The 18655-nt window shown below is 36.0% G+C and overlaps 1 protein-coding gene across 11 annotated transcripts in view; it reads left to right on the top strand.

The window, feature by feature from the left end:
* Window positions 1–18655, top strand: part of PAWR (pro-apoptotic WT1 regulator) — a 106086-nt gene that overhangs the window by 12845 nt on the left and 74586 nt on the right. The window contains exons 3-4 of one of the 11 annotated variants that reach the window (XR_944561.3): window positions 9712–9799; window positions 11489–16870. The exons of 8 other annotated variants lie outside the window; for them this stretch is intronic. Coding sequence is in view for 1 of the 3 variants with exons in the window: in XM_017019379.2 (XP_016874868.1) it covers window positions 9712–9717 (6 nt within the window). In the remaining 2 variants the exon portion in view is untranslated. Of the gene's footprint in view, window positions 1–9711; window positions 10654–11488; window positions 16871–18655 lie in introns of those variants that run through there. 2 more of the 11 variants (XR_944560.3, XM_017019379.2) reach the window with 2 other exon arrangements.

Genomic DNA, 18655 nt, shown 5'->3' with positions numbered 1-18655 from the left:
AGTAGAATAAATCAAAATTTCCATATGCATTAAAAAGAAACTAGAGGATAGGATCTAAACAAAGTTGTACCAAGTGATTTCTTTTGATGACAAAAATAATTATATAATGAATAAATTTGAGTGTTTGGGGGTAGAGGGCAGATGGAGTGGAGGTGGGGAACTCCAGTGATACTAAATTGCTAGAGTTTGATTCTAGTGTAATCATGGAGAAGTTTATAGCTTAACGTTATCCCTGAGTTTGTACTTTGCCCTGCACTTTAATATAAAACCAGTTTATTGCATTCTGATTCTCTAGTTCATTCTGTAATACAGATGGTAGGAATACAGGTGCTTAAGGATGGGAATTGCCTTTGAATTTTTCTCCATGTATTACTTGTTTAACTTCTACAAGTGTTTTCTCCCTCCATACTTCCCTCCTTCCTGGTAGTATCTTCGAGGAACTCAAGGGCATCTCCAAACCATGTTTTAGGAATAGTATTCAGAAAATTTGAAATAAAATAGCAAATCTAGGATTGTGCAAAAATCAGCTATAGAATATTACTTATAAATTTAACAAATTTTCTTCCATTTTTATTTTTATACATTGGGATTATATTCTATGTACATTCTTATAACCTGCCTTTAAACTTGACATTGTCTTATTATTTCATTTTAAGCTTTTTTTAAAAGGAGAAATGTTATTACTTTTTTTTGTTGTTTCATAAACACTTTTGTTTCATAATCATTTTCATTGGACAGTGATTCTGACTATCCAGTGATACTAGTACTTTATATTTTTGGAATACAATTATTTGAAGCCACCCACAAAATAAATGTATTTATCCAGAAATTTAATCATTCTACAGATATTGTTACAACATTTTTGTTATCACTATCTTTACAAACATCACAGATGTGTTATTCTTAATGTCTACAGAATATTCTCTAATTTGGATGTTCCGGTATAGCTAGCATACATTTACTACCTTGTTAGTACATGTTAGACACTGCACTAGGCCTTTTGAACGCTTAAGTTAATACAGCTGTTCTGTTACCAGCACTGCCAGGATTTGGACAACTCTGATTTTGTCCTTGAGTACTTTATAATCTAACTCAGAAAAACAAGATTATATAGGACAATTCTTGAACATTAAAAAATGAGTATAATAAAATGTTAAATGTTAGGTCATACTCTTAGTACAGATATTTGAGAGATTCCTGGAGGATTGAATGGTCCAGGTAATTTTGTGAAGGGAATGTGAGATTTGAACTGAATCTTGAAGGACTGATAAGAAATGCACAGGTGAAGAGGAGAGTTCTATTTCAGGCTGTGAAAGCAGAGTGGGCAGTAGTACAAAGATGAGAATTAGTAACCTGATTGGGGTAGAGGGCTTATGTTAGGAAATAGTAAGTGAAACTGAGGGAGCAGAATAGTGAAGGATCTTAAAAACAAGCCCGAAGGTTTTTGGTTTGATGTATCCGGCTACAGGAGAACTTGAGCAGGATATGTTCATATTGTGAGAGCAAAATTTTAATAAGATCAACTATCAGGCTGTAGTACACAGAGCAGACTAGAAGAAAGAGAGAATAGAGATAAGGAGATTAGTTGTTGCCATACTCTAGTTGGGAAGATACTGTGTGTGAAATTATAGAACACTATAGCAGAGAATACAGTTTATTAATGTTTTCAGTTTTATGACTATTTAATTGACTGTTAGTGTCTTCAGTTGGAGTACATAGGGGAGCTTATTATTATCTTGAGTCACATGATAATTTGAAAGATTGATTAAATCAGAAATTGCTTATACTACAAGCTGGCTCTTAGAATATTTTATTAATTATGGGTGAAGAAAGGTATTTGTATTTCTGAATAAGCAGGCCATATTAATGTGAGATTACACTTAAGTGCTTTTTGAGCCTGGTACTATTCTAAGTCCTTTACATGTATTAACTCATTAAATTTTTAGAACAGCTCTAGATGGGTCACTGCTATTATTATTATTATTTCTATTTTACAGGTGAGGAAAGCAAAGCATTGAGAAGTTCAGATTTCTGATTTGAGAAATTAGTTGCTAACTTTGCACTTGCCTCCATTCTTGATTTTTTTTTTTTCCTCTGTTTCCAACTTCATAATGCGATCAGGGTCACTTCTTTCTCCTGTGCTTCCAGCTTCACAATGGGGTCAGTGTCACCTTTTAAATACTAGCCTGAGCAAAACAAATATATTAAGCTTGCTGTTATTATTTTTTTTCTTTCCAACTTTTATTTTAGATTCAGGGGGTACATTTGCAGATTTGCTGCATGGGTAAATTTCATGTCGTGGGGGTTTGGTGTACAGATAATTTTGTTACCCAGGTAATCAGCATAGTACCCATAATATCCTTACCCTTCTCCCACCCTCCACTGTTAAGTAGGCCCAGTGACTATTGTTTCCTTCTTTGCGTCCATGTGTACTTAATATTTAGCTCCGTCTTATAACTGAAAACATGCAGTATTTGGTTTTCTGTTCCTGCATTAATGTGCTTAGGATAATGGCCTCTAGCTCCATCTATATTGCTGCAAAGGACATGACCTTGTTCTTTTTTATGGCTGTGTAGGATTCCATGGTGTTTATGTACCACATTTTCTTTATCCAATCAACTGTTGATGGGGATCTGGGTTGATTACTTATCTTTGCTATTGTGAATAGTGCTGCGATGAATATATGCATGCTTGTGTCTTCATGGTAGAATGATTTATTTTATTTTTATTTTTATATTTGAGAGACAGAGTCTTGCTTTGTCACCCAGGTTGGGGTGCAGTGGCGTGATCCTAGCTTACTGCAACCTCCACCTTCCAGGCTCAAGTGATCCTCCCCACCTCAGCCTCCCGAGTAGCTGCGAACACAAGTGCGGCACCACGCCCAGCTAAAATTTTTTGTATTTTTAGTAGAGACAGGGTTTTGCCATGTTGCCCAGGCTGGTCTTGAACTCCTGAGCCCAAGCGATCCACCCGCCTTGGCCTCCAAAGTGCTGTGATTACAGGCATGAGCCACCGTGCCTGGCCCTGTGGTAGAATGATTTCTAGTCCTTTGGGTATATACCCAGTAAAAGGATTGCTGGGTCTGGATGGTAGTTCTGTTTTAAGTTCATTGAGAAATCTCCAAACTGCTTTCCACAGTGGCTGAACTAATTTAAATTCTCACCAGCAGTGTTTGGGTGTTCCCTTTTCTCTGCAACCTCACCAACATCTGTGGATTTTTGGCTTTTTAATAGTAGCCATTCTGACTGGTGTGAGATGGTATCTTATTGTGGTTTTAATTTACATTTCTCAAATGATTAGTCATATTGAGCATTTTTTTCATATGCTTGTTGCTACGTGTATGTCATGTTTTGAGAAGTGTCTGTTCATGTCCTTTGCCCGCTTTTTAATGCGGTCATTTTTTTTTTGGCTTATTGATTTGCTTAAGGTCCCTGTAGATTCTGGACATTAGACTTTTGTCAGATGCATAATTTGCAAATATTTTCTCCCATTCTGTAGATTGTCTTTTTACTCTGTTGATAGTTTATTTTGCTGTGCAGAAGCTCTTTAGTTTGATTAGGTCCCACTTGTCAATTTTTGTTTTTGTTTGAATTGCTTTTGGAGTCTTCATCATGAAATCTTTGCCAAGGCTGATGTTCAGATGATATTTCCTAGGTTTTCTTCTAGGGTTTTCATAGTTGCAGGTTTTACATTTAAGCCTTTAGTCCATTTGAGTTGATTTTTTTTTTTTTATCTGGTGAAAAGAAGGGGTCCAATTTCAGTCTTCTGCATATGGCTAGCCAGTTATCTCAGCACTGTTTATTGAATAAGGAGTCCTTTCTCCTTTGCTTGTTTGTTGGCTTTGTCAAAGATCAGATGGTTGTAGGTGTGCAGCTTTATTTTTGGGGTTCTCTGACCTGCTCCATTGGTCCATGTGTCTGTTTTTATACCAATACCATGCTCTTTTAGTTACTGTAGCCTTGTCGTATAGTGAAGTCGGGTATTGTGATGCCTCCAGCTTTGTTCTTTTTGCTTAGGATTGTATTGGCTATTTGGGCTCTTTTTTTGTTTCCAGATGAATTTTAGAATTTTTTTTTCTAATTCTGCAAATAATGATATTGATAGCTTGTTAGGAGTAGCATTAAATCTGTAAATTGCTTTGGGTAGGGTGGCCATCTTAACAATACTGATTCTTCCTATCCATGAGCATGGGATGTTTTTCCATTACTTTGTGTCATCTCTGATTTCTTTCAGCAGTGTTTTGTAATTCTCATTGTAGAAATCTTTCACCTCCCTGGTTAGCTTATTCCTAGGTGTTTTATTCTTTTTGTGGTTGTTGTGAATGGGATTACATTCTAAGTAGAAGAATTTAACCTTGTGAAGTGCTTATATGAGGAATAAAAAATGCTACCATAAAGTATATTACCTATTTTTAGCTCTTATTTTAAGTTCTCACAAATCTCAGACCTCTGACAAGGGAGTGCTGTTTGGCTAGTATTGGGTTACTGAATTTGAAAGAGGAGCTCAGGCTCAGCTCTTTGAGGAGAGGCCTCCAACTGGCTGGTAACGGAGTCACTGAGGGGCACAATAAGGCTGGTTTCAGCTGTTGCTACTTGAATGAGTGCTGCTCTAGTGACTAAGCAAGGCTCAGGTGAAACTGACAGAACAGGAAGCAAACTTGAAGAACAAATCACTTCTTCCTTCTCCAGACTTGCAATTTCCTTTTCTCTCTTTGTATTGGTAGACACTAGAAAGAAATATGATTAATTTAGGGCCGGGCGCGGTGGCTCATGCCTGTAATCCCAGCACTTTGGGAGGCTGAGGCGGGCAGATCACGAGGTCAGGAGATCAAGACCATCCTGGCTAACACGGTGAAACCCCGTCTCTACTAAAAATACAAAAAATTAGCCAGGTGTGGTGGCAGGTGCCTGTAGTCCCAGCTACTCGGGAGGCTGAGGGAGGAGAATAGCGTGAACCTGGGAGGCGGAGCTTGCAGTGAGCCAAGATCACACCACTGCACTCCAGCCTGGGAGACAGAGCAAGACTCCGTCTCAAAAAAAGAAATATGATTAATTTGACTCACTTAATAATGGTTGTGGTAATTGAGAAATTTGACATCTAACTTGATATTTGATAATATTAAGTAATCATTTTTCATTATTTTCGTTGTGGTAGTGGTTTAGTGTGTGCTGTAGAAGAATTGTTTTAGAGATATATATTGGTATATTTAGAGAAGAAATGCCTGGGATTTGCTTCCAAATAATATAGGACAGATAGTGGTGGGAAAGTAATAGAAATATAAATGAAATTTGTACTTGTTGAAATTGCAGTAATGAACAAATTAGGATTATTTTATTTTCTCTACTGCTGTACATGTTTGAAATACAGAAAAAAATTAGAATCTTTTTTTTTTTTTTGGTGATACATTCAAGTTAATAAAACTGATTCTCGTTGAGGGGTATGGATGTGATCTAATACACACAATAAACTTGATGATAAGTACCTTGGAGAGGATAAAACAGGGAGATAGGCTATAGAGAGTAGAGGCTGCAAAGTGGTGGTAGCACTTTAGGGCTGGCAAGGAAAGCCTCTATATGGAGCAAGGTATTTAGTTGAGATCCAAACTTTGGAAGGAGCCAGTTAGGTAAAAATCAGGGGAAGGAGCTGGGGTAAAAATGTTCTAGGTAGGAGAATCGGAAGAGATTGTGGGGAGAAAGAAAACAAAACAAAAGTTCTAGGTGGAGGGAACAGACATTACAGAGGTTTTGAGGCAGGAAACTTCAAGTATTCAACTTAAAGCAAAAGTTGGGTAGGTGAGAAGAGATAAAGACCAGGTCATGGTAGAGTTTGGAGTTTAAGTGCAGTTGGGAGCTGCTTGTTGGTTGAAGCAGAGGAAGTACTTGATCTAATTTTTGTTTCAGAAAGATCAGTTTAGGTTGTAGGTAAAGAATGGGCTCTGTGTACGGGAAGGAGAGGGCAGACCACTACAGCAATACAGGAGAGAGTGACCAGGTGGGAGGTAGGGGCCATGGAGAGACGGGATTGCGTATGGAATATGTTTTAGAGGTAGAGCTGACAGCACTTTCTGTGAGAAGCAGAGCAATCAAAATGATAATTAGGTTTTCCTTTAGAGCAATTGGGTGGATGCTGATGCCATTAACTAACAATACTTTTCACTGCTATTCGTGCAGTAAAATGATGTCATGCAGAAGTATAGCTTTTTAATATTTTTATTTTTAGAGATAGGGTCTTGCTATGTTGCCCACGCTGGCTTTGAGCTCCTGGGCTCAAGTGATCCTCTTGCCTCAGCCTCCCAAGTAACTAGGACTACAGGTGCACAACTGTGCCTGGCTGTGTCCTTTTTGTAGAAATTATGATTGAGCCTCTTTATAAATAATCTTAACATTTTGAGTATATGCTAGGCATTGTTCTAAGTTCATTACATGTATAAGCTTATTTAATTATCATAAAAAGTTAAATGAACTATTTGTCTTTATATCCCTCGTATCGAGGAAACTAAACAATTAACATGGTAAACACATCAACAAGCTAAAGAAGAAAAATCTCATATTAATAGATGGAGAAAAAGTATTTGACAAGATCCAATACCCATTCACAGTAAAACTTCTTGGTAAACTAGGAATAGATGGGAATGGCCTCAGTTTGATGAATATCTACAAAAACCTATAGCCATATATTTGAATTTAGAGAAGCTACTTCTACGCTAACTACACATAAGGGCTATGTTTCTAGTACAGAATATTGATTAAAACCTTTCCTGTTTTGATTAAATCTAGCCACATGATTCTCCTAGTGAAGGGATTTAATCTTGAAATTGGTGGAATATTTTAGATGGTAAATTGATTAGAGAAAAGAGATTTCAATTATGTTGTCTAGTACTTTCCATTTTGTTGAATTAAAGTTTAAAACACCACCAAACAACTTTAGGCTGTAGTGGAATTTAAAATTAGTATTTGAATGTAATGTTTTCTTTCCTTTTTTTTTTTTTTTTTTTTTAAGTGCTAAGGTCTTGCTTTTTGCCCAGGCTAGACTCAAACTCCTAGGCTTAAGCAATTCTCCTGCCTCAGCCTCCAGCGTAGCTGGGACTAGAGGTTCGTGCTACTGTGCCTGGCTAATATTTTTCCTTTTTAAGCTAGGTTTTCCTTGACAGTCTATTTTAGTATCCTTAATACTTAGCTCAGTGCTTGACATGTAGGATTAAGAAGGTGGTCTGTCAACTAGGGAAATAATGAAAAAAAAAAACCCCTAAAAAAAAAGTGGCAAACATATTCTGATATGGAAATTATTTCATTTATAAATTGTGTTTTCTTCTAAGGTTTTGCTTTAAAATCACAAAATCTTGAAGTACACTTAAAATTTGAAGTTCAGCTTATGATAGCCTTTTTTTTATTGTGAACTGAAGTTTTAATATTTGATACTAGAGAGTATCTATTGATAAATTCGTGTAGTTATAAGAAAGGTTCAGTTACAGTGATTGCTATTACCTTGATATTTTGTAAATTACTCCCTTTGTAACATTTGCTGTCTCAGGAATTATTTTTTCTAATGTCAGATGGACTTTTCAGAATGAATTGAATGAGATATTTTTGGCATTTTGAAACCTAATGATTTTTCTATGAAGAATTTTTATTCTTATTCATTGCATTTTTTTTTTCCCCAAGAAAAAATGATGTATAATAGTGACACATAAGATAGACATTCTCCTGGTAAAGTATATTGCTCTTTGGATTTTATTTTGATTTCAGTAACAGATTTGATAATTTGGTTTTTTAAGCTTTCATTACCTAATTCTGTAATCTTTGAGGATACAATTCAACCAACCAACCAGCCTTTTCTATAATTTAGTAACTTTACTTGCATTTTTCTCTTGGACTTTGCTTATGTACTGCCAATTAGTTGCTTAAAACTTTTTGTCATTGTTAAAACTGTTTACATGGCTTTTTAAAATGGGGGAAAAACAATAGAAACATGCTGTGGTGCAACGAATGAATACAGTGTGATTAACAACTTAATTTTTTTTCCTGTTTCAAACATCCACCTATTTTTAGCATTTTGTATACCCATAGGTTAAAAATATTTACATTTTTCTTAGAAAAGTAACCTGTTTAAGAACAAAAAAGGCCAAGCGTGGTGGCTCACATCTGTAATTCCAGTACTTTGGGAGGTGGAGGAGGGTGGATTGCTTGAGCTCAGGAGTTTGAGACCAGCCTGGGCAACATGGCAAAACCCCATCTCTACTGAAAATACAAAAATTAGCCCAGTATAGTGGTGCACACCTATAGTATGTTTGAACCGGGAGGTGGAGGTTGCAGTAAGCCAAGATTGTGCCACTGTACTCCAGCCTGGGTGACAGAACAAGAGACTGTCTTAAAAAAACAAACCCAACAAACAAAAAAAAAGAATGAATAACTGTTTATTCATTATATAAATAACTTATTTAACAGTTTCAGTATATTTTGAAATCTTTTTCCATGTATCATTTGATTTTTTTCTTTTTTTAAAGAACACTTGAGAATTACTCAACTAAGTTTAGATTATCTAGATGTTTGTTAGAGTTGCTTTCGTTGGAGGACTTGAAAATGAAGTATGTATAATTTAAGATGGTTATTAGAAGAGGAGTTTTTTTAAATATATTTCTTAGTTATTTAAGGTCTGCAGATACGAAAATCATATGTCCCAAACCAATAATCAAGATATAAGATAATATGGCAAGTTGAAAAGATAGAACAGTGTATCTTGAAATTTGCATAGTCCTGAGAATAGACATGGCCCTACTCTGTAATATGGCTTATTCCCTCCATGCAGGGAAAGTTCTGAGGCCTCTCTAATTCTTAAATCTATTTTGCAAATTACTTTTTAAGTTCTATTAACATCATTGTACAAGAAACCCTCAATTTAATATTGTTGGTCTTATATCCCTAATCTTTACATAATCTGCACTGTGTGGGGAATCTTCTGCATAGCTCATGCCAGTAACTTTTAGGGCTATTTTTTAAATATCACCAAGACTGAAGTCATTCAAGCCAAAATGTGAAGACTAAAATCTTTGATGTATCTGAACAGAAAAAGATAAGTGAAATTATTTAAAAATGTACTTCATTCTTCCTTTCCCTAGCTTTGTTTGTTTTGAACTGTTTTCTTCATAACAGCACACAGTTGGAAGTGCATGTGTGTAAATATGTTTGTATTTGATTGGGATGAGAGTATTTCCTTCCAATAGGAATACCCCAACTTGTTGTCTGGATTCCTCTCCTTATATTTGTATTCTCTATACAGGGGTCCCCAGCTCCTGGGCCGTAGACCCGTACTGGTCCATGACTTGTTAGGAACCAGGCCACACAGCAGGAGGTGAGCAGTGGGCAAGCGAGCAAAGCTTCACCTGTATTTACAGCCATTCCCCATCGCTTGCATTACTGCCTGGGCTCTGCCTCCTGACAGATGAGCGGCACCCTTAGATTCTCATAGGAACACGAACCCTCTTTTGAACTGCGCATGTGAGGGATGTAGGTTGTGCACTCCTTATGAGAATCTAACCAATGTCTGATGATCTGAGGTGGAACAGTTTCATCCAGAAACCATCCTCCCCATTATCCCCCTGGTCCATGGAAAAATTGTGTCCCATGAAACCAGTCCCTGGTGCCAAAAAGGCTGGGAACCACTGGTCTATAATTTTCCTTACTTAACCAGTTGTTTTTGTTTCTAATATTTTAGAGGTAAAGAGTTCAGAAGTAAGATAAAAGAAGACCAAAGACAAACTACTTCAGGGCTATTTCGTGAAGCAGAAACAGCACTTCATCAGGTGGCTTTTGCGGGAGGAAGCACTGTTAATGCCCTTAGGCGTAAGGGTAAATGATTCAACTTACTTAAGGAAATACATTTTCTTCTAACTTGAAACATTAAAAACAAAAAATATCTACAAACTTTTACTATAGAAAGATCAAATGTGGCCAGCACTTTGGGAGGCTGAGGTGGGCAGATCACCTGAGGTCGGGGGTTCTAGACCAGCCTGACCAACATGGAGAAACCCTGTCTCTACTAAAAATACAAAATTAGCCAGGCGTGGTGGCACATGCCTGTAATCCCAGGTACTCAAGAGGCTGAGGCAAGAGAATCACTTGAACCCGGGGGACAGAGGTTGTGGTGAGCCGAGATCGTGCCTTTGCACTCCAGCCTGGGCAACAAGAGCAAAACTCCGTCTCAAAAAAAAAAAAAACAAGGAAAAATCAAATGAACAAAAGGAAATAAGATAGTATTATCAACCCTATGTGTGAACATGTTAACTAGCTTCAGTTATTTTTAATTTATGGCTCATCTTACTTTATTGATTTCCTCCAATTTTTATTGTTTTGAGGCAATACTGGATATCATTTCATTTGTAGATAGTATGAATTTATTAAAGATAAGGACTCTTATTTTTAAAAGATTACTCCATTCCACTATTACATGTAAATAATAATTCATTAATATCAAATGTCCAATCAGTGCCCAAAAATTTTCATGGGTATCTCATATATGTCTTTTATATTTTGTCCAAATAAGATCTATACATTATAGTTGCTTGCAATGTCTCTTAACTTGTAATCTTTACATTCTTCCTGTATTATTTTTTCACAGTTTATCTGTTGAATAAAGCTTGTTGTTTCTCACAGTCTAGATTTTGCTGAATGCATCCCCCGTGGTCTTGTTTAATGTAATCTTGTAAACTATTTCCTATAATTTGGTAAATTTAGATTTAAACTAGAGGTTTGATCAGATCCATTCATTATTATTATTATTATTTTGACAAGGATACATTATATGTGGTATTTTGTACTTCCATCCGAAGGAGTAAAAGTCTAGTCAGTTCTTTTTCTATGTCAGCAATCACTGGTAAATTGCCTAGATCAGCTGTCAACTCAAAATATTAATATCTGAGACAGGTGTCAGTCAATTTAGAAAATTTATTTTGCCAAGGTTAAGGATGCACCTGTGACACAGCCTCTGGAGGTCCTGACAACATGTGCCCAAGGTGGTCGGGGCACAGTTTGGTTTTGTACATCTAGGGAGACATATGAGACATCATGTAAGATGTACTTGGTTCCATCCAGAAAGGCAGGACAACTTGAAGAGGGGAAGGGGCTTCTAGGTCAGAGGCAGGTTTGCCCTAAGCAGTTCCCAGCTTCACTTTTCCCTTCAGCTTAGTGATTTTGGGGTCCCAAGATTTATTTTCTTTCACACCAAACTTTTCAGCCTTAAGATCCCTTTACATTCTTAAAAATTATTGAGTATCCTAAAGGGTTTTTGTTTATGTGTAAATATCACTGTATGTATGAGCATTTACTTTTTTAGAAATTAAAACCAAGAAATTTTAGAAATGCCTGTTATTAATTGGAAAAAAAGCCCACTGCATGTTTATATAAATAACATTTTTGTGAGAACTATTTTCCAAACAAAAATTTAGAAAATTGGTCCACTGTTTAACATTTTTGTAAATCTCTTTATTGTTCAGCTGAAAAGAAGACATCCTGTTTCTCCTATCTGCTTCATCCTTTAGTTTGTTGTAATATTACATATCATGTAACCGTTGGAAACTTTGTGTACACTCATGGGAGAATGAGGAGAGAAAAGGCAAGTAAGATTTTAGCATTCTAAAAATAGTTTGACCTTGCGGATCCTCTGAAATGGTCTTGGGGACTCACAGGGGTGCTTGGACTATGATCTATTTTATTATTGGTTGCAAAATGGTGGTATTCTAATTCATTCCTTTGTAATTTATTACCTGGAATATTTTATATAGAGAAATTTCCTTTCATCAGCTGTTTTAGTTACCTTGAGATACAATTTGTACAAATAAGATAGCCTAGATGCTTGATTCTTTTCCTTTAAGGAGACAGAAGCTTTATTGCATTCATTTTACTATGTGAGAAAGAGATGAGAAGACTACTTTTAAGCCCCCTTTGTACTAATTGAAACCGCCTCCACTTAACAAGTGAAGGAAGGACTCCACTAATACAGTTGGCTTCTTAAATTATTAAGATGCAGTTTGTATCTTAGAGGTTGCTTATTTTAGTACTATATCAACTAACACTATATAATCTCTTTAAGAAACTTGCTTGAGGAGTCTAAAAAGGATTGGAAGCTTTCAAGTTATCTGATGATACTTTCACCTATTTCCTTGTGAAAATGCAAAGTTAACAAGATAATGTCTGCGATTAGCTTAAAATGCTTATTTATTGTGAGATATATTACTATTAACTCCATGGAAGAGAAAAATCAGGCTCTGTTACGGGATATTGAGTTTTGCTGCAGTTTGATTTTATAAAACTCAACTAATTTGCTTCCAGAATTGCTTCAAAAACTTGAGCGCTCTTGAGGCAAGACAGGGAGTTGTAAGCTGTCATAAATGATACAACCCAGAGACTAAGACTTGGAATGGAATGAAGTCTGGAGAGAGGAGATGTATATCAGAGTAGTGTAAGTAATAGGTTAATTAGGCATAATGAAATTTCAGTTCTTGTTCTTAAACACAAATGAAAGGGGAAGTTCATCTTAATTCCTTACTTGTATATACTTGAGATGAAATGTGAAGTCAGTTTTCCTCTATGTAACAATTTTTATTTTAATTGACTTACGGAATTTTTATGATACAATAGAAATACGTTGAGACAAGTTTATTGAGCCAACTATCTATACATCTTAAAATATTTGGCAGTTTAAATAGTCATTTAATGTGGGTTAGATGTGGGAAGGATGTGAGTTGAAGGATGGAAGGAAGCTGGACCAAATAGCATAATCTGTCAGCAAAATAAATCTTTTCTAGTTAGACTTAATCTCTTGTTGTTTTTGGACCTGATGAAAATTGTTTTAGAGATTGGAACTTAATAGAATAGTTATGGTTTGAAGATATCTGTTTTAGTTATGTATTTGTAGACTATAAGAAAAGTAAATGGAACTAATTTTTGTCTCTATAAAATTTTCCTTAAAAATCAGATTTTTTTGGGAATCTTCTGAGTAGTACCATCATTCTATGGAAACATATCTCAGAAATTAAATCTTCATTGTTATAATCTGTTTTTTCATATTATTGGAGGTACATAGTAAACCTCACAGTTGAACCTTAAAATATAACTATTGTTGACTTTTGGAAAATGGTTTAGTGAATTGCTGCTCCTCCTTCCAAGTTGGAAATTGAAGAGATGTTGTGTAGTTGTAAATGCTGAATGCAGTGACTGAATGTTCACTACATTTTTGGTTTACAGCAATAGTAGATGTATTAACTATACTTGCACAATAATCACTATTTTATTTTTGTTCAAGTATAGGCCTTGGAACTTTAAAAAAAAAAAATAGCCAGACATGATGACGCATATCCGTAGTCCCGAGTACTTGGGAGGCTGAGGCAGGAGGATCACTTGAGTCCAGGAGTTCAAGGCTGGCCTGGACAACATAGCAAGACCACTCTCTCTCTCTCCTCCCCCCCCCGCCAAAGAGTCTACTTTGTCCTTAAAATAATTTGATAGCACATTTAGGACCTTATTTTTAATACTACCTTTTGAAACATTGACTTTCTAAAAAACAATGTGTGGCCCCAAACAAGATAATGACATGGGTTTAAAAACAAACAAAAATGCCCTTTCAGGGCATGTTACAGTAAATATAGGTTTAGTATAAAAACTTGGTATTAAAGTTTTTGGTAGTTAATGATCTGGAAGCATGGCATGATCCTAAAGTTCTAAAAATTAGAGAAGACTCTAAGTAAGATAGTAAAGAAATGAGTGTTTAATTTACTATATATTTTTTTTAATTGAGGGAGGGTTTTGCAGAGGTGGAGTGAAAGAAGAGGATCACTCCGATCATTGTCTTTTATTTCCAGATCTTTTTGAGTAATGAAAATGCACTTAAAAAAAAGTTGGGGTCTAGTTGCAGTCTCAACCCTTGAAGTGGTGGCCTCTGTTGACTGTCTCGAGGATATTTACTTTGTCCATCTTTTAAGAAAATAATCCTTTATGAATAGTGATAAATAATCCCACATTTCTCACTATGACTAGTTATTTTTAATGGGCAAATTTCTGTTTGGAATGTAAGATGGACTATTTTATTATAAGCTATTTCTCCCATTGGCACATTGGCAATTTCATATTTGCCAATACTCAGTACTTTTCCTAAAATGTATATTTGGCATATACTTTGTAGTTGGATTTATTTTTGTTTATTATATTATAAGCACATAGCCTGATTAATCTTACTCTTCAGTTAACTGGGATGTTAGTAAATCACTACATGTAATAAAACTTTTCATTTATTTCTCTTAGAAGTTTCTGTGTCAGAAGTTCACACTGTGCTTTTAAAATAAATAGGGTTTTTTTTTTTGGTTTTGTTTGAGACAGAGTCTCACTCCATTGCCCAGGCTGGAGTATAGTGGTGCAGATCATGGCTCACTGCAATCTCCACCTCCCGCACTCAAGTGATTGTCCCACCTCAGCCTCCCAAGTAGCTGGGACTACAGGTGTGCGCCACCACACCCAGCTAATTTTTTGTATTTTTTAGTAGAGCTGGGGTTTTGCCATGTTGCCCAGGCTAGTCTTGAGCTCCTGGGCTCAAGCGATCCTCCTGCCTCAGCTTCCCACGGTGTAAAATAAAAACAAATAAGTTTTTAAACTTTATTTGCCTAAGAATCACGAAGGGAACTTTAATGAATCTATGACAGGACTGATGAATCTACATTTAAAAAATCTTCCCAGGTAATTCTGATTAAGGTGTAAACTGTAAGTCAAAAGTGGCACCCATTTCTGTCAGGTGTATTCCTAAACGACAGAGAAGATAAAGAAATAGTCCTGAAATGTGTGCATCAACACTTAAAACCATAGACAAGATAGGAGAAGGAGGCAAAGCACCAATAAAAATCTCCATATCCCATGTACAAAACCTTAGAATACAGAGTAAGTAACTGGTGTTCTTTGGCCACACCAAGGGAGCAAGCCTTATGCTACTGAACACCTTATGCATTCATTATTTTCCCATTACACAAAAAATGAAGTTGATGAATTTTGGAGTAAGATAGTTACTTGTTGTGTAAAATTAGGTAGGTGGACAGGCTCTCATTAGTATAATGGAGATTGAACTGCCTATCTTTAGGCTTAGAATTAAATAAATTAAAAGCATTTACTCAAAATATCTGCCATGTAAGAGGTTCTCATTCTCAAAGGATAGCTATTTTTTGTTTTTAATGACAACATGTTACCATAGAATCATTTTAATTATTTCCTTGTGATTAATAATTAGCACTTTAAAAACAGCATTTTCTTGATGTTTCCTTACTCCATCTTCACATGCCAAGTGCTAAGAGTGCTTAGTAACCCTTAGAAATCTAAGAAAAAGTAGATAGGCTTTATGTGATTTTGTTCAAGCCTTTGTGTAAATGGACTTTATGTGATTTGGTTTAAACCTTTGTGCATTTCTTAGTCTGGAATCCATAAAGAGCTGGGCTTCTGCTTTTTTGTCTTTATGTATGAGTGATACTTTTGCCTTGTAGAAGGAAGTGAGCTGAACTGAATTCTAGGTCAGCTTGGCAGTGTGGTCCATTATTGAAGTGTCTAGAACTAGAATGTGAATGGAAGTAAGAGATTAATAATTGCAGGATATCTAGATTTCCTCATACAGTAAATACAGTAGAAAGTCACAGGCAAAGAACTAAAAGACTGGACTTTTCTGGAGCTGGATGATTCTGAGCAGTTACCTAACTTCTTTGATCCTTGATTATTTTGTTGTTAGAATACATCAAAGCCTATTCCCAGGGTGGTTGTTAGGGTTAAACAAGATGTTATCAGTAAAAACTGTTTTTTCAAATGTGAACTACAAATGATTTATATTACTGTTTCCTGTCCTGAAAGTTCTGGATCTTTTAAGCATTAGTATGCTTTTTTTTTTTTTTTTTTTTTTGAGAGATGTCTCAGTATGTTGCCCAGGCTGGCCTTGAACTTGTGGGTTCAAGTAAACCTCCTACCTCAGCCTCTGAAGTAGCTGTGACCACAGGCACATGCCACTGTGCTTAGCTAAATGCTACTATGCGTATTGACTGAGATTTTTCTGTCATTTAGGTAATATGCCCTGAATTTCAAGTTGAAATAGAGCTTTTTGAAAATACTATCTTTGGGTATGAGAATCTTTTTTTATCATTTATTAAAGTGGCAACATTTAGGTTATTGTTTGAGATGTTTTTATTTATTTTTACTTTTTGTTACTTTTCCATTTTACCTTCTGAATATGATTAAGCAGCTGTAACCCTACTATATTATAATTCCCTGAACTCTGTAGTCTCCCCTGCTTAGTGTATGGCCCCAGCTGATCATATTACCATTTACTGATGACACATAGACTTTTCATAGATGCCTATTGAAATAAGTGTTTGTGAGGATAAGGGGAACATGGTGTAGGGAGAGGGCTTTGGTCTAATGTATGTAATAATGTCTTTAAAATGAATCAAACTTTGAAGATTTCCTAGTTTTAATAGTTTTTTTAAGTGTAAAATGTTACTAACATAAAATTTTTGAGTAAGAAAACTATCTTCTTACGGCTTAAAACATTATCTTAAATGTAATAAATTAATTTCTTAAGAAAAGAGTGACATGTCCATGATAAAATTTCAAGTGGTGCAGACAGCCATTGTTGTTATTTCTTAAGTATCCTTCTGGAGATATTTTCTGTTTTTACCAAGAAATATGTGTGGATATCTCCAGAGATTTTTTCTTTCAAGGTTGTTAATGGCATAATGGATTTGAAATCTTTTGTTTGTAAGCTAAAAGTTTAAAATTTAAGTTTCTAAGGACAGATTGTAGAAATATTATGGCTCAAAGTTTACTAAAATGTAAGTTCTTTTTTTTTTTTTTTTTTTTGAGACAGAGTCTCGCTTCTTCGCCCAGGCTGGAGTGCAATGGCGCTATCGTAGCTCACTGCAACCTCCGCCTCCCGGGTTCAAGCAATTCCCCTGCCTCAGCCTCCCCAGTAGCTGGGATTACAGGCTAATTTTTGTATTTTTGTTAGAGATGGGGTTTCACCCTGTTGGCCAGGCTGGTCTCGAACTCCTGACCTCAAGTGATACACCCACCTCGGCCTCCCAAAGTGCTGGGATTGCAGGCGTGAGTCATTGTGCCCAGCCAAAATTGTACGCTCTTAAGGACAGATTTTTTTCTTAGCTATATGGACTTAATCTTTATATTCTGTAGTCTATATAATTATATACTTTAAAAAAAAATACAGTGGCTGGCCGCAATGGCTCTCGCCTGTAATCCCAGCACTTTGGGAGGCTGAGGCAGGTGGATCAGCTCAGTTCAGGAGTTCAAGACCATCCTGACCAATATGGTGAAACCCCGTCTCTAGTAAAATTACAAAAATTAGCTGGGCCTGGTGGCATGCACCTGTAGTCCCAGCTACTCGGGAGACTGAGGCAGGAGAATCACTTGAACCCGGGAGGCAGAGGTTGCAGTGAGCCAAGATTGTGCCACTGCACTCCAGCCTGGGCAACAGAACGAGACTCCATCTCAAAAAAAAAAAAAAAAAAGTACAATGAAATGTTTTTTTAGCCATCTTGCTAGATATATCACGTCTGGAGTTTAGGGAAGAGATCTTTAGAGGTAATGATGTGAACCTAGTCAGTTTGTCTGTGGCAGTGGTTCTCAAACTTTAGTGCATAACATCATTTGGAAGGCTTCTTATAACACACTTCTCTCAGTATAACCTCTTAGCACTTCTGTTTGTTTCTATTTGTCATCTTGAATTGTCCTGGGATACTTAATTCCTTTCATTCTCTGTCTCATAACATTTTCAGTTTATTGGGGAAGGAGGAGATTCCTGTCAGTGCCACTATGAAGATTGCCCTAGGAAAAAGGATTTTATCTGTGCTGTTACCTGTTTCCCTCATTTCATTTTCCTTGGCTACTCTTGACTGGGATAAATTTGTAAGAGACTTTAGACAGTTCACTGTAGCTGATTGGAAAGCTCCAAGTACTGTTAACATTTATAACCGACAATGTCTGTGGTATGTTTGCTCACTGCTTTTTAATGGCTAGTTTTATCTGCAAAACTGTTAATATGGGCCTGGCACTAACCATAGTGAGAGAGTGTATTGTTCTCAGCATTTTCTTTTTACTATTATTTCCTGCAGCCTTGTCTAGTATAATAGTTACTTAAGAAGAGTAAATCTTTTTTTCCATGTCTTTACTTCTTTCCCCACCCCCTTTAATCTCCCTTCTTTTGGACAAAAACTACTTTTGGGGAGTCTGTAGTCTTTTAAATCCAAATATTTCCTTTAAATATGAGAAGAGAAAAAAAATTAAACAGGATGGGCAACAGACAAAATATTTTCCAAATACCACAAAATAATTTTTAAAAACTTGGTTGATGTTGTTTTTATCATTAATAGGATTTTGAATTAATGTGAACTGTCAATCTACTATAGTTTATTTTCCTCTTTAGTTGTATAAGAATACAATAAATAATCTGAATAACTGTAGATAGAAATGTGCATAGTTGTAAAATGGGATTTGCCATGGAAAAATTTTATTAACACTTTAGCCTTATTTAGGGGTTTCTTGGTGCGGACAATGTATGCTAATGGGCTTTCTCTAGTCATGTATTACTTCTGTACAAATGGGGAATTGGCTGCTAACATGAGGAGGCC

The sequence above is a fragment of the Homo sapiens genome, chromosome 12 (genome assembly GCF_000001405.40).
Source record: "Homo sapiens chromosome 12, GRCh38.p14 Primary Assembly".
NCBI classification, from domain to species: Eukaryota; Metazoa; Chordata; class Mammalia; order Primates; family Hominidae; genus Homo; species Homo sapiens.
Note: the sequence above shows the minus strand (reverse complement) of the source record. Positions and strands in the feature narration are given on the sequence as shown.